The sequence below is a fragment of the Homo sapiens genome, chromosome 5 (genome assembly GCF_000001405.40).
Source record: "Homo sapiens chromosome 5, GRCh38.p14 Primary Assembly".
NCBI lineage: Eukaryota > Metazoa > Chordata > Mammalia > Primates > Hominidae > Homo > Homo sapiens.
The window spans coordinates 111,329,793-111,347,379 of NC_000005.10; the positions used below are offsets into that span (position 1 = coordinate 111,329,793).

Below are 17,587 nucleotides of genomic sequence, written 5' to 3' on the forward strand. Positions count from 1 at the left end.
AAAAAGAAAAATAAATCTCTCAGCAAAGTAAGAAAGAAAGGGAATTTTCTTAATTTGACAAACCACATCTATGAAAAAACTACAGCTGATGTCATTTTTATTGATGAAAAACTGAATGCTTTCACTTTAAGATCAGGAATAAGGCAAGGATATCTGCTCCCACTACTTCAATAGAATATTATATTTGAGGTCCAAGCTAGTGCAATTGGAAGAGAAAAAGGTAAAGTTTGAAGTAAAACTATTTATTCAGATAAAACATATTTTTTTTGGTAGAAGTCCTCAGAATTCTACTCCCCACCACCCCTACAAAAAAACAAACAAATAAAAAACTCTAGAAGACTAGTAAGTTAATTTGGCAAGGTTTTAAGATAAATGTCACCATACAAAAATAAGTTGTATTTATATATATTAGAAGCAAACACCCATAAAAGAAAATTCTACAATATTATTATAATTACATCAAGAAATAAAAAACAATGAACTGTAACTTTAACAAAAGACATAAAAGACTTTTACTAGGAAAACTTCAAAATATTGCTGAGAAATAAAAGGAAACCTAAATGGAGTGATACACACTGTAAATGGATTGGAGGACTCAACATTAAGATGTCAGTTCTCTCCAAATTGATCTATAGATTCAATATAATCCTAATTAAAATCCTAGCAGGATCTTTGTTTTTCTTTTTTTGTTGTTGTTGTTGTTTGGTTTTTTGTTGTTGTTGTTTGGTAAACATCAGTGAATTGATTCTAAGTGTTACAAGGAAAAGTAGAATAACCAGAATACCCCAAGTTATAATTAATTATAAGTAATCTAGAGATGATTTAAAGTATAAGGGGGAATGTGCATAGATTATATGCAAATACTATACCATTTTATATAAGGGACTTGAGCATCCATGGAGTTTGGTGTCAATAGTGGATCTGAGAACACCAATCCCCCATAGATAACTACTGTAAAACTACAGAAATCAGAGTAGTGAGGCGTTGGCATAACAATAGAGAGAATAGAGTCCTGGCACAGATCCATAGATCAATAGTTAGTTGATTTTTGGCAAAAGTACTGAGGCAGTGCAATGGGGAAAGAAAATCTTTTCAATTAAAGGTGCTGGAACAACTACATAAATACATGGAAAAAATATACCTTGATACATGCCTTATACCACAAACAAAAAAAATTCAAGATATGTCATATACATAAACATAAAAGTTAAAACTAGAAAACTACTAGAAGAAAACTAGGATAATATCTTTATGACTTGAGGATGAGCAATGATTTCTTAGAACACAAAAAAGCACTCACTGTAAAAGAACTGATAAATTGGATCTCAAAATTAAAAGATTATGATTATCAAAAGACACCATTAAGAACAATAACAAAGCAAACTATTGACTGGGAGAATACACATATATAACAAATAATCTTGTGTCTGGAATTTTAAAAAAACATAAAAATAATAAAAACAAAGTTATATTTTTTAAATGGGCAAAAGACCAAAATGCTTCACAAAAGATGAATGAATTACATATAAGTCCCTGCAAAAGTACTCAACATCATTATTCGTGGAAATGTAAATTAAATCACAATATGACACCACCTCATACCCACTAAAATAGCAAAAACTAAAATAATTGACATTTCCAAATGTTGATGAAGATGTGGAGCAACTAGAACTCTCATACCCTGCTTGTGGGAATGAAATGGTACAACCACATTGAAAAACTATTTGACAGTTTTTACAGAAGTTAAACATTGAGGCTCGAGTAAGATCATTTGTGTATAACACCTGCCAGTCTATTCTTTTGCCTTTGTTAGTCCCTATCCATCTTGAAGACCCACTTAAATTTGCCCTCCTACAAGACGGCTCCCCAGTTTTCTCCCTCCTTTTTAGTCACCAGTAGTAAGGGATTACATATCTCTGTTTACCAAGGATAGTCCTGATTTATATATATGGTTTTGACATAATCGATTAATCCTACTCAAAAACATACAGGCTTGACAATAAATTATAAATTTGTGCTACCCAAAGTTCCATAGTTTTGATCTTAGTATTTAGCCTACTTTGAAAATTATATATTTATTTATAGATTTTTTCTTATTTTCATATTATGTTTTAAGTTCATTAGGGGCCAGAACCATCCTTATATTCCCATAAAGTGCCTAGCACAGTGCCTAATAAATTTTCACTTGATGAAATCTAACTCCGTTTTAAAAATGAACAGTGATTTCTGCTGCTTTTAAATATACGACTAAATATTGCTCACACCCACACAATTTAAGCATCCTTTTCTTTTTTATTATTATTATACTTTAAGTTTTAGGGTATATGTGCACAATGTGCAAGTTAGTTACGTATGTATACATGTGCCATGCTGGTGTGCTGCACCCATTAACTCGTCATTTAGCATTAGGTATATCTCCTAATGCTATCCCTCCCCCCTCCCCCCACCCCACAACAGTCCCGGAGTGTGATGTTCCCCTTCCTGTGTCCATGTGTTCTCATTGTTCAATTCCTATCTATGCGTGAGAACATGCGGTGTTTGGTTTTTTGTCCTTGCGATAGATTACTGAGAATGATGATTTCCAATTTCATCCATGTCCCTGCAAAGGACATGAACTCATCATTTTTTATGGCTACATAGTATTCCACGATGTATATGTGCCACATTTTCTTAATCCAGTCTATCATTGTTGGACATTTGGGTTGGTTCCAAGTCTTTGCTATTGTGAGTAGTGCTGCAATAAACATATGTGTGCATGTGTCTTTATAGCAGCATGATTTAACCTCAGTCTTAAGGAGAGTGTTCGCTGCAATGAAATAACTTTTCTAGTACTTCAAAATTAATTACATTTTATTCTTGATGCTATTTGAGAATGCAAGCATAAAGATGCAGGGTGAGATTTCTGTGAGCTGCTGGTCTAGTGCATTTGGGTGTTATGCCTGACTTCAGGGATTACAACATTGGTGCTTTTACTTCTCAATTAAAAAGATTTCCCATAGACAGCAGGAAAAATTGCAGGGCCATTAGAAAATTACAACCAAATTGTGGAAAAACTTAGAAGAAAGAATATTCATTAAATTTTGGTTTGAAATAGTTAAAAACCGAAATGTCCATCAAAGTCATACTGAACAAGTAAAATGTGGTATATTCGTTGAGTGGCAGCAATTAACAGGACTTATTAAGAACTGTGTTAATCAACAATAATAGATATCAACATCATGTTCAGTGAAAAAATGCAAATTGAGGACTGAGGTATATAGTATAGTAACACTTCTATAAAATCTAAATAGTATATAAAAACAATGGTATATATTGCTTATTAATATTAAGCATAATTGAAGGTATGGAGATGGAATTGTGTAGATACACATTAAATATAGTAGATGGTATGGAATAGAAGGAAAGAGGACTGGGAATGGAGGATAAAGGTTAAAAAAGAACAATAGCTGTCTTCATTCATGTATTATAACATTAAATGGTTGATCAAAAATTCAGTTCTGTGTGCTGCATGCATGTGCACACACCCACTCACAGAAAAAAAGGAAAATAAACTTTTCGCAAGATGTTTGATTAGTTGATACTAATAGCTAACAATATGATGCATAAAATATTTTGAAGCAAACAAAGAGGACTGATAAGAGTTATTAAGACCCTTTATTCCATAGTTTTATTGTTATTAATGTATTTTGTGATTGAGAACCAATACTCAAGCTATCTGATAATTTGAGGCTGTTTTTGCTTTACCTTGTGGTAGCTAAAATTCAGCATTTGGGTTCCAGAGCTTCTTACGCTTTTACTTTATGTTAGGGCAGAAGTTTTATTAAATGTCTGAAATAAGAGGAGCCATATTTAAGCCAATGCTTATGGAGATCCAAGCACTAGGTCCAAAGTCACAACTGGATGCTGTTAGGCAACAACTTAAGGAAATTGTTCACCAGGCAAGCAAGGTTTTGAGAAACTGGAGCCACAAAGTAGAGAATATAATAATTCATAGTTTGAGTTGATCAGAGTTGAAGAGTTAATAGTTAGTTGCCAATATAAGGTCTTGAAAAAGGGTTTGTAGGTCAGGAATGATACCTGTAAGACAGTGGCTGTAGAATAAGCTGACATGAGGCTGAAACAACAAATGAGGACTCTATCTGGGAGACAGACCAAAAAGTTGACGTAAGGCACCAAGTAGGAGGACATGAGAAGACTGAAGTGAGGTGCTTACGCTTGCTTTCTGCAGGATTCAGCAAGTAAATGAACCTGATAAGAAAGAGTGCAGTTGTGGACAGACTGATGCCAAAACCTTGGGCTTGGACTTTTCTTAACATCTGGAGTTTAGTATCATTAGTATCATTCCTTGACATGATATATTTGAGATTTATTTTAGGAGTGTAATATTTAACTGACTTGGGAAACCTCCAGATCTAACGGCAACTTCTAAATTCTAAAGGTTAGCCATTCTTCACGTTGTAGACTGAAAATGTCAAATCACTAATTAAATCAATTAAGTAGCTTTCCTCCAGTTGTTTGTTGATTTTAAGGTTCAGACTTTTTTCCCTCTTGGTGACCAAAGAACATCTTGAAGCATTCTAGTGTTGAAGAGCATTGATGAGTTGCAGGCTAACAGAGATAGAGACTGAAACAATGAAAAGCTGTCCCAAGAATGGGCCAAGATGTATACTGATATTAAATGCTTACAGATTTTGACGTTTTTTAGGTTCCTGCTCTTTAATATGACACACTTTCACCCCTAAGAAGAATCAATTTTGAGGTTATAACCAGTCTTCTTTAATAATTCATATAACCTAAAAGTCAATAAAAAGAAGAGCTTATTAAATAATAGCAAGTCAATCATGTAAGAGTAATGTGATGATATATAGAGTTGCACACATTATATTTTCAACCTATGATTGACACTTCTTTTAAATCACAGCTTTGCTTTTAAACCTTTTCCCTAATGAGCATTAAGAGGATCTTTCCAGTAAGCACATAGATTGAAAACAAAAACTTTAACAATCAAATGCAAAAACAAAAGAATAAAATCAAACCAATTGAAATGTTAAAAAATGATTAATATTTTGACATAACTATACTTTGTAACCAAGCATCTTCAACATTAGAAAAAGATAACAAGATTTTTTGATTTCATCTCAAGATACCTCCCATTTAAAAAAAAAAGTGAAACTCTTTAATAGCTTACGTGACCTAATAACCTCAGCAAAGACACTTTTACATGGCCATGAAGCATATCATTGCAGAGATCCAGCTGGAGCGGAGAAACATGGTAGTCAGCAGTACTTCCAGACTTCTGTGTGATAAGAGATTCCATATCTGAATTTCCCTTGCATTTGCAAGGAGTACATTGTAGACTTGATGGCAAGGGAAGTCAAACTTTAATGCTTCCCTCAAATAATCACAAACATCCCACTATGTCCTCTCCTAGAAGAGACAATTTCTGATTTATAACCTCCCTTAATAGGAGAATGCCCTTGATGCTAAATTGTCTGAACATTGTGCAATCTCATCTTCATTCCCAAAAATATTAATATGAACCCAGACTTCCTAATTCCATTTTGAATCAGATTTGATCTGTATTTGGCCCTTTGAATCCATATGGGTATCTGTCTCTCAGCTAGTGGGTGAATAGTTATGTCAACACTCCTGCATTGTTTTTTGGAGGAAAAAATAAAATTAAACCAATTTATCTTTTTTTAAAGCAAGAAAGAAGACAGGAAGAAAAAAATGGTGAGATTATGGGAGAAAAAGAAAGAAAAGTTATTCCATATGAATTAGGCGTGAGGAGCATGTTAAGGCCAACTGACAGATGAAGAGCCCCTTTCTACACTACGTAGTCCTAAATGTGGTAGCAGTGGGCTTTATACTTGAAACATATTCAGGAAAATAAATATTATATCTGGAGCCTTCCCCTCCATCCATAAGTTTGGCATGCAGTGCCAGGTATCAACATCAGGTGTTAATAGCTTTACAGAACAATGTGTGGGGATATAATATATATTTTGTATATGTATGTACACATATTATAGTTTATACGTAGTATTTCAGTTATAATGTACAAATACTACATATGATTTTACAAACACATTACAGGTTTGACAACTCTCTCTTTTTGTGTAATGAAAAATATGGTGGTCTATATTTTTAACTTTTTGCCTTTAAATTTTTAAATAAACAACTAACCATATTAGACAAAACTAGAGCTCAAAAATAATTTTTCTAGAATTCCTGTTAAAACTAATGTAAAAGAAAGTAGTAGAAATCAGGCTCAAAGTATTAGTTTCATTTCTCATCAAATTCATGGCAGAAAAAATTATAAATGGAATAATTTCTATAATTCTTTGGTCTTTTTGCTGAAGAATATGTTATAAATGGATAGACATGAGCAGTAAAGCTTTATTTTTTTCAGTTGAATGACTCCATAAATATAATATCCTCTAATGTATAATCTCCTTGCTTCTTTTGAATCTCAGGCAATTTTGTGGTAGTTCTCTCTTTATTCCATTTTGAAATGAAGATGCAACACTGTACAAGATGTTCTTTCTGTATTAAAAATTAACTGTTAATATGCTTTATGTCAAAATAGTTTTTATTTTTATATGAACATGCTGAAAATGTGATTGCTTTCTAAAATTATATTTACACACTTAAGTCAACTATTTAATTTCAATTAATAATATAGGTTATTTTTTTGAGAAACTGTTGAATTGTTATTTCCACATAAGTTCTTCTTTTAGCTTACTCTTTCTTGCCTTTAAAAATTTATTTCTAGTATACTTGTGTCCTGAAGTTGATCAGCCAAAAACGTATTTATTAATTGTTTCTTAAAAAGCTTTGCTAAGACAATGATTTATATATGGAATTTATTGATAGGTTAATTGAATGTGATGAGGAAATTAAGAAATGGATGCCATTTAATATTTTTTATGTGAATTTTTGAGTAACATTAATTTTTCAATTTTATTTTCCATAAGAATGAAAATTAGATTTTTAGTTTTCTTCTGTTTGAAAATCTTTCTCTTATATTTTTTCTTTTTTTTAAAATTTCACCACTTACTGTTAAATGAACATAGAATGGGTTGAATGCTATAAGCCACATTTTGGTAATGTGGTTTTTAATATTTTTAAACAATATAGTTCTTTTGGAAATTTTTTTTTACTGTATTTTCATTGAACTATAATTTCTGGACAGTAAATTTCACCTATTTTATTGCAGTTTTACTTGTTTTTACAATTGTATATAGTTGTGTAAACACCATAACAGTCAAGATATAAAATAGTTCTATCATGTGAAAAAAATTCCCCTATACTACTTTGTAGTCAATCCCTCTCCAACCTGTGAGAGTATTATAAATGAGATTCAACCAAGTTGTTTTGTGTACCCTCATTAATTCCTTTTTTATTTCTAGGTAGAATTTCACCATATGGATGTATCACAAATTGTTAATCCACTTCACAGTTGAGGGATAGTGAAACTGTTTCTAGCTTTTGGTGATTACTCATAAACCTGCTGTGACAATTCAGGTTCAAGTTTGTGAGTGAACATTGTTTTGATCTTACTTGAGTAAATACCTAGAAGTGACATACATAGGTCATATGATATGTTTAACTTTATAAAACATCGTCAAGCTGTTTTCAAAAGTGGCTATACCATTTTGTATTCTTACCAGTGATGTGTGAGAGTTTCAGTTGCTTTGCATCCTTGCCAGCCTTTTTTTTTTTTTTTAGGTCATTCAAATAGTGTTGTTGAAGTCACAATAAAAATATAAAGACACATCTCTAAATTTAATGTTTTATTTGAGAAGAAATAATTGCAATTTGGGGTGTACTTTCAGACTAGGTGGTCTTCAGTATGTCAAAAGAACAAAGAGGTTGGAGGTTGTATAAAAAGTAGAAATGTTATATATTGCTTTTTGAGAAAGGTCATTGGCACTAGTAAGGTTCTGAGGAACTGATAAGCTCTGATCGGTGAGTGACAGCAGTGGGCCAAATTAGTACTAAAGTTGCAGCAGTTACAAAGAAAACTGGTCTCTAGTTACAACAGGCAAGTTTCAGCAGCCGGACTTGTAAAGAACTATGTTTTTGGAGCAATGTTATGTGTCCCTAATGTCTTGCCCTGCTGCCTCTAGACTGTTTTAGTTGGGTATGAAAAGGATAATCCAATCTGTGTAATCAGCTTTCACAATGTGTAGTTGCATCTTCATGTGATTTTAGTTTCCATTTCCCAAATGACTAATGATGCTGTGGATCTTTGCATGTTCTTGTTTGCCAGCCATACATTTTCTCTGGTGAAGTATATGGTCAAATCATTTTTCATTGGAAATAATTATATATTTTTATAGTGTAAATATGATGTTCTAAAATATGTATACACTGTGGAATGACTAAATCAAGCTAAATAACATATGAATTACCTCATTTTTAATGGTGTAAATTAAAATTTACTTAGAACTTAAGAACTACTCAGTAATTTTCAAGTATACAATACATTATTATTAACTATATTATTAAGAGCTCTTGCATTTGTTCCTCCTGGCTAATTAAACATTTGTATCCTTTGAGTAACATCATATCTCCCTAGTGTCTCCACTCCAATCCTCTGGTGGTTGTAGGTTGTCTGTTAACTCTGTTGATACTTTACTTTATTTTGCTGTGCAGAAATTCTTTAGTTTAATTAGGTCCCATTTGTCAATTTTTGTTTTTGTTGCAACTTCTTTTGAGGACGTAGGCAAAAATTCTTTGCCAAGGCCAATGTCCAGAAAGGTGGTTCCTTGATTTTCTTCTAGGATTCTTAAAGCTTGAGGTCTTACATCTAAATCTTTAATGCATTTTGAGTTAACTTTTGTATATGGTGAAAGGGAGGGTCCAGTTTCTTCTCCATATAGCTAGCCAGCTATCCTAGCACCATTTATTGAATAGGGAGAACTTTTCCCATTGCTTGCTTTTGTCGAATTGTTGAAGATCCGATGGCTGTAGGTGTGTGGCTTTATTTCTGGGTTCTATATTCTGTTCCATTGGTATATTGTGTCCATTTTTAATACCAGTACTATGCTGTTTTGGTTACTGTATCCTTGTAGCGTATTTTGAAGTCCAGTAATGTGATGCCTCCGGCTTTATTCTTTTTTGCTTTGGCTATTCAGGCTCTTTTTTGAATGCATATGAATTTTAGAATAGTTTCTTGTAATTCTGTGAAAAATGATGTTAGTAGTTTGATAGGAATAGTGTTGACTCTATAGATTGCTTTAAGCCATATGCTTTGCCCATGTTTTAATTGAGTTACTTAGTTTTTTACTATTGATGTGTTTGAGTTCCTTATATATTTTGCATATTAACCCCTTATCAGATGTATGGTTTAAACATATTTTCTCCCATTCTGTAGGTTGTCTGTTTTATTCTGCTGATTGTCTCCTTGGCTGTGCAGAAGCTTTCTAGTTTGATATAATTTCAGTTATCTATTTTTGCTTTTGTTAGCTGTACCTTTGAGGTCATATCCAAAAAATTATTTCCCAGACCGGTGTTATAGAGCTTTCTTCCTATGTTTTCACTTAGTAGTTTTACAGCTTCAGGTATTACATTTGTATTTAATTCATTTTGAGTTGATCTTTGTAAATGGTGTGAGATAAGGGTCTTATTTCATTCTTTTGCTTTTGGATGTCCAGTTTTCCCAGCACCATTTATTAATGAAAATATTCCTTCCCCATTATGTGTTCTTGGCATCTTTGTCAAAAACCAGTTGGCCATAAATGTGTGGATTTATTTCAGGGATCTCTATTTGTTCCATTGCTCTATGTGTTTATTTTTATGCCAGTATCATGCCATTTTGACTACTATAGCTTTGTAGTAGATTTTGAAATCAGGTAGTGTGATGTTTCTAGCTTTGTTCTTTTTGCTCAAGATTACTTTGACTATTTGGGGTCTTTTGTGATTCCACAGGAATTTCGGAATTTTTTTTTACTTGTGTGAACAATGTTATTGGAATTTTGATAGGGATTATATTGAATCTGTAGATTGCTTTGGGTAATATGGACATTTTAACAATATTAATTCTTTCAATCCATGAACACAGGATATCTTTTCATTTTTTTGTGGTTTCTTCAATTTCTTTTATGCATGTTTATAGTTTTCAGTATACAGATCTTTCACTTCTTTGTTTACATTTATTTCTAAGTATTTTATATCTTTATCTATTGTAAATTGAATTATTTTCTTCATTTCTTTTTTGGACAGCTTGTTATCAGTATAGAGAAACCCAACTGATTTTTTAATGTTGATTTTGTATCCTGCAACTTTACTGAATTCATTTATTATTTCTAACTGTATTTTGGTGAAGTCTTCAAGGGTTTTTGTGTATATAATCATATCACCTGAAAATAGCGACAGTTTAACTTACTCCTTTTTGATTCAGATTCCTTTTATTTCTTTGCCTTGCCTAATTGTTCTGGCTAGGGTTTCTACTACTGTATTGAATAGAAGTGGTGAGATTGAGAATCTATGTCTTGTTCCTGATTTTAGAGGAACAGCTTTCAACTTTTTACCATTGAGTATATTAGCTGTGGAATTGTCATATATGGCCTTTATTGTGTTGAGGTACATTCTTTCTATACGTAATTTGTTGAGAGTTTTTGTCATGAATAGATGTTAAATTTTGTCAAATGCTTTTTCTGCATCTATTGAGATGATCATGTGATTTGTCTTTCATTTTGTTAGTGTGGTATGTCACAATTACTGATTTGAATATGTTTACTTTTTCATCCCAAGGGTAAATAACACTTGACCATGATGAATGAGCCTTTCAATGTGCTGCTGAATTCAGTTTGCTAGTATTTTGTTGAGGATTTTTGTATCTGTGTTCATCAGGGATATTTTCTTTTCTTATAGTGGTCTTGTCTGGCTTTGATATCAGGGTAATGGTGGCCTCATAAAATTCGTTTGATAGTATTCCCTCCTCTTCAGTTTTTGAAAGAGTTTGAGACGGATTGGTATTAGTTTTTTTTAATGTTTGGTAAAATTCAGCAGTGAAGCCTTTAGGTCCAGGCTTCTTTTTTCTTTTCTTTTTGTTTTTTGATGGGAAACTATTACAATTTCAATCTTCTTACTCATTATTGGTCTGTTCAGATTTTCTATTTCTTCATTATTCAGTCTTGGTAGGTTGTATGTATCTAGGAATTTATTCATTTCTTCTAGGTCATCCAATCTGTTGATGTATATTTGTTCATACTAGTCTCTTAAGACCCTTTACATTTCTGTACTATCAGTTGTATGTGTTCCGATATTTTGCCTATTTTTAATGTGTTATTTTCTTATCAAGTTTTGAGAGTTATTTATTTATTCTAGATACAAGTCCTTTTAAGATATGTGATTCATAAATATTTTCTCCCACACTTTCAAAGAGCAGACATTCTTAAGTGAAGTTCAGTTTATTTACTTGTTCTTTCATTTATTGTATTTTTGATTTTGTATCTAAGAAATCATTGCCTAACTAAAGATCACAATCCTTTTTTTCTATGTTTTTTAAGAGAAATTTTACAGTTCCTGGTTTTGCATTTCTATCTGTGATCCATTTTGAGTAATTTTTTAATATAAGGTGTGAGGTATGGAGAAATTTTGTTTTTATCTTTTTACATATGGATATCTAGTCATTCAAGCACTAGGTTTTAGAAAAACTTTTTTTTGTCACCGAATTGCCTTTTTACCATTGTCAGAAAATAATCCATCATATATGTGTAGGACTATTTTTGGATCCTTTTTTAAAAAAAAGTAAATATAAAAATAAAATTACACTAGGAATACACCAAGAATTACATGAAGAATATGAGTATTTTCTTGTAAAAATTATAAAAATTTAGAAATATGTAACAATTACAGTAAATGCTTACATAGACCTTACTGTGCCAAGTATCACTCTAAATGCTTTAAATAGATTAACACATTTACTCTTTACAATTCATGAGATAGGTACTGTTATTTTTTCCATTTTACAGATAGGAACACTGAGGGCACAAAGAGGTCATGTAACTTGCATGGGGTCATGTAGCTAGTAATTGTTGGAGCTGCCTTCTTAATCACCTTATTATTTTGCTCACCTCTACCCCAATCCAATGCCTTATCTCGAATATGACAACTGTTCTTTATTTCGTTTGCAACTTTAGCTACCTATATGAAACACATGCAAAAAACATTTCATTTGTATTCATGTCTATTCTTTCTTCAACACCGCTCTCTCGATTACTGTAGCTTTATAGTAAGTCTATAAAGTATGTGAGTCCTATAACTTTGAAGAGAATATGTATTCTGATGTTTTGGTGGAGAGTTTTTTTTTCTAAATGTCACTTAGTATAATTTAGTTGGTAGGGCTGTTCTGTTGTTCTGTAATCCTTCCTGAGAGTTTGTCTGCTTTTGCTATCAAGTGCTGAGACAGTGTATTGAAGTTTCCAAGTGTATTTATGGATTTTTTATTTCTCCTTTTAGTTCTATAAGATTTTCTTTCAGGTATTTTGAAACCCTGTTGTTAGGTGCACACATATTTATATTTATTATGTTGTTTTGCATAGTTGACGCCTTCGTAATTAATGTCCCCCTTTATCCTTTTGCTAAAATTTACTTAGTCTGATATTAATAAGCTGTTCCTGCTTTCTTATGGTTAGGGTTTGTGTAGTATCTCTTTTACCAGGTTTGCACCAACCTAATGTATCATTTTATTTTTTAACCTATTTATGCCTATATATTTAAAATGAGTTTCTTGTACACAGCATATAGTTTGGTGTTGATTTTTTTTTATCCAATCTGCTCTTTAAGTTTTAATTAACAGTTTATAATGTTTACATTTAATGTAATTATATGATTAGAATAAAAACCACCACATTGTTAGCTGTTTCATTTTTAAATCTATTATTTTGTTTTTGCTCCTTTGCAATCCATTCTTGAATATTTCATTTTAGCTCCATTATTGAATTATTGTTGATTTTTCTATTAAAGAATTAGTCATTGCCATAGGTTACATAATATGCATCTTTAATCAGTCTATATTTAAATAATATTAGACTACCAGACATGTAGTATAAGGATTTAACAACAGTATTTCCCAATTTCTTCCTTCCATCATTTGTGCTGTTGTTGTCGTACATTTTTTATTTTTACACATGCTAGAAACACAATGCATTTTTAATTTTTTTAAATTTTAATATTTTTGCCTTAGTTATCTTTTAAAGCAATTTAAAATAAGGAAATGAATTTTATATTACCTTCATTTATTCTATTTCTTGAACCCTTTATTACTTTGTGTATATGTCATACCTTACCAAGGTTTTAAAAATACATGTTAATATTTTTAACTATTTGCATTTACAACACACCAGTCTTTGACTTCTCTTGGCTCTGTTAAAAATGTGTTGCCTTTAGATAGCTGGGAATGTGTTTTATTTTTATAATTCTTTGTGCTCACTTGGAATTTCAGGACCATGGGACCGAGTATAAGAGGTCCTTTGGCCTAATCTTCAAAGTCTGACAAGTTTACTGATCTTAAGCTGTTTCTAGAAGTTCTCTTTCTGAAGTTGAAGTGTAAGCCTGTTTGGTCTATATTTCTCTTTTATCTCTCTTTTACTCTTTTGCTTCTCATGTGGTGTTTGGAGCATTTGGACCACGTTGTCCTGCTTTTTAATGCTTTCTTATTAATAACCCTGTACATATGTGAAAATAGTTATTGAATGCCTTCTTACCATCTGCTTCACAGATTACCATCTCCTCTACACGTTAAAAAGTAGGAGGGGTGTCCCAGCTCTCTTGCCACACTGTGGAAGTACAGACTATATAGAGTGCTTAACCTAAACCCTCTCCCTGAAGTCATATGGTTTGTTTTATTCCAGACATGTACCTTTAGGAAAGCTCTGGGATTCTGAAATTGGGTGGGTTTCCTTCAAAAACAACATTCACCTGAGGACCTGATTTATTCCAGAGCCTTCTCAATGCAGTAGCCCTAGTTATGTTACTTGTATAGGGATAAGGCAGAAGGAAAAGAGCAAGCTGGAAAACCTAGAATTTTTTGAGCAAACTGTGTTCAATTGTGATAAAAAAAAAAATACTCTTGACAGCTAGGGCTGGTCCTATAATAGAACTTATAATAAGCACTTGTCAGTTATGTGGGTTATTGCAAGATACACTTATTTTCAAGCTTTCCCCTTTAATTCATGTCCAAAGCATAACATTTTCTTTTTGTCTTTTTCCCCCTCAAGGGGTGCTACATCCATTGTGTACAGATGCAAACAGAAGGGGACCCAGAAGCCTTATGCTCTCAAAGTGTTAAAGAAAACAGTAAGTTTATTTCTTATATAATGGCATCTCTAAGGGGCCTGTGACCTGGAGAAGGCAGGAACCTGATTTGAAGAACAAAGGGGCCAGAGAGCTGCTGTGTGCAAATAACCCATTTGACTCTTGATTACGGGAGTGCAACCCAAATAGGTTGTTGTCTGGTGGAAATTGCATGAGTCTTTGAAAGCAGCTGGATCTCAGATTGGATGTGGTTCTGGGGAGAAGATTGGCAAGGAAAAACATTTAGAATTGGCAGGTAGACCTTATTTTGCATATCAGGCATGTTCTTGGAGATTTTATATATATATATATGTATATACACACACACACACATACACACACACACACTATATAATAATTTCAATATTTAAATATTAAAACCACATTTTAATATTAGAAAAGCTTGCTATTGAAAAGAATTTGAAATAAAGCACAAATGTATTTGTTAAAGGAGTCATCAGATTCTAATTTGCCTTAATTTTCAAATGTTGCACTTGCTTCAGTAGAGTATAATTGAATTTTATTGAGTTAATTTTTCTGGGACTGAACCTGCTCATCTAGAAGTTTGTACTTGGAAAAAAAGGAAGGTTTTTGTTTTGGGGGTTGCTTCTTTTGCCCTACACTCATAGATAAGCTGAGGAGGCAAAAGTGACTTAGGCTTATCTCTAATGAGTAAGAAACACAGTAGATGGGAGTTCAAAATATAAATGCCAACACCTGTGTAATACTGTCTATACCCCCAGAGAGTATTTTGCCATTTTAATGCCCTACTTGGATTTTGTGTTCTTATGCAGTTTCTACTCATAAAACCACAAAAAGACAAGATATTCTTTTATAACACATTCATTTTCAAATTTCATGTGAACAAATATGTGAAATGTATGTATATATATGAAAACCCAGTTGTAAAGTATGCTGAGAAGTATCATAAATTTTGAAGTCAAATACATTTTTAGGCCAAGGAATTTTTTTTCCTCAAGGCAGCTTAAAATTACCAGCTGTTTATGTATTGTCTGGCACAGGGAAATTTTAGAATCTCATATAATGAAGAGCATAATACTACAAGGTTTTCAGCTAAATAGAAATAGAATGATATTTTTAAACAATCTGTTAGAATTTACAGTCATAGCAAAATAACAAAAACAATTTAATGAAAGTCAGTAATAATTTCAATGGCACTTGCTACTAATGAATTCTATATTCTGAATTTTCTGTTTGGTGTAGGCAATGATTTAACTTATTCCAGAATGTAGAGGAATCTGTTGATTGATAAGATTTGGAATTTTCCCTTAATTTAGTTTCTTACAGTCATAAAATTTATCTGAAGTAAGGATTATTAAAACTTTTATGAAATAGAATTTCCTGTTAAATATTTAGTTTGTATGAAAATAAAACGGCATATTTTAGCAGTAGTCACACACAAGATGTTTTAGGACTTGTTTGTACGATTTCTTATTGGTTAAAAAACTGTCAGTAAAATTTGTGAAGGGCTATTTGTTTTTCATAGTTGAGGAAACTTTGAGAGGGAAGAGACATATGAAAGTCTAGGAAATAAATACTTAGAAATTACATGTGAATGCTCAAGAATCCCCAAGGGCAACAGGCTGGTTTAAAGGCTGGCTTATGTCAAAAGTCTTTGGATAAATTGGAGAAGGAGGTCAGTGAAGCCATTTGGTGGGTTCATGACGTATATTCGTTGGGCAAGTGCCGCTCTGGTTCGTCCTTACTGTCTTCTCGCTGTTGTGAAAACATCTCCCTCAGAAGACAGGCAGGAAGAGCATGTGAACGAGAATGAAGTGTCAGATGGAGCTGCAGAATGGTGCTGTAAGGCAGATGTTGTCAAACACAGTTACTACTGTGCCAAATGGAATGAGAGAAAATGCCCTGGAAAAACCTCAGCTTTGAATGTGAATTAGATAGAATCCCCAGTATTGTCTCCTAGGATAAATCATGCACAGAGATGTGTAAACGAGAGAAATAGCAGACAAAACCTCAAAGACCAGTTGCCTCTAGCGTTTCATTCCATATAGGTCACGGAGACTGAAACTTCCTTGTCTAAAGGAAATGAATGAAGCCTAAGAATCTGTTTATAGAGGAAAAGTGATGTGGGGAAAATGTTTTCTTAGAGAATTCAGCCAAGGGGTCTGCTCCTGAGGAAAAAAAACAAAAGGGTTCAGAAAACTTGAATTATTTATGTAATCTATTAAGCTCAACCACATAAAATTGCCTTTATTAATGCAATTTTTTACTTATTTCTTGGCCTTCAAAAATGGCAATTTTATGTGGTCCAACTAACAACTTTGGGACTACTATATTACTTCAATGGATGGTTTCTTCAGTCCTCATTTTATGACTAGCCCTAAGCCCAAGAGGCTTGAAACTTTATCTATCTATCTATCTATCTATCTATCTATCTCCATCCATCTATCTATTTCCAACCATCTTGTTTTTCTAGAGCTGGTCCAATAAACTACCACAAACTAGATGACTTAAAAGAATATAAATTTATTCTCTTACAATTGTGGAGGCAAGAAGTCCAAAATCACAGAGCTGGCAGGGTTGGTTCCATCTTAGGGCTCTGAGAGAAGATCTTTTCCATGCCTCTCTCCTAGCTTCTGGTGACAGCCAGAAATCTGTGGCATTCCTTGACTTGTAGGTCATCATTCTAATATCTGCCTCCAATTGTTACTAAACCAAACTTGAGTCAGCTCACCCAGTGTGCAAAACAAACAAACAAACAAACAAAAACACTAACACCAGGACTTGTAGTGAGAGAAAGTGAGGCGTTTATTGCAGGGTGACAAACAAGGAGAATCAGGCAACTCACGCTTAAGACCCAAACTCCCCGATGGCTTATGAGCACGGGTACACTATGAAAGGTAAGGGTACATTTCAGGAAAGCAGAAGTAACAGGCAAAATCATAAATCAATATATGGAGGTTATGCATTGGTTTGGCCCCAAAAGGTGGGAGTATCTTAAAGTAGAGGCTTACAAACAGGTGGGTTCTAAGATTCTTTGATTTACAGTTGGTTAAGGAAGCAATGTTTTGTCTAAAAACTTGGGGTCAGAAGAAAGGAATGTTAAGATCTAGCCTTTGGGCATGACTCTACAGGCTTTCAAGGAAGAAATTTAGAATAAGGACAGTAGTCAGCATTCACTTCTTAGTTCCTCCTTATCTGAGGTCTACATGACAGTGGTTGGCATTTTTCATCTGGTGAGGGTCAAGGTTTCTGAATAACAGCTCAAGGATATGAGATGCTATCTTTAATTTCTATAAGG

General features: G+C 32.9%; 1 protein-coding gene across 6 annotated transcripts in view; it reads left to right on the top strand.

Annotated features, from left to right (window-relative positions):
- CAMK4 (calcium/calmodulin dependent protein kinase IV) overlaps positions 1 to 17,587 on the top strand; it is a 271,304-nt gene that overhangs the window by 106,210 nt on the left and 147,507 nt on the right. For all 6 annotated transcript variants that reach the window (XR_948303.3, NM_001323375.2, NM_001323374.2 and 3 more), the window contains one exon: positions 14,232 to 14,310. Coding sequence is in view for 3 of the 6 variants with exons in the window: in NM_001323375.2 (NP_001310304.1) it covers positions 14,232 to 14,310 (79 nt within the window). In the remaining 3 variants the exon portion in view is untranslated. The remainder of the gene's footprint in view (positions 1 to 14,231; positions 14,311 to 17,587) is intronic.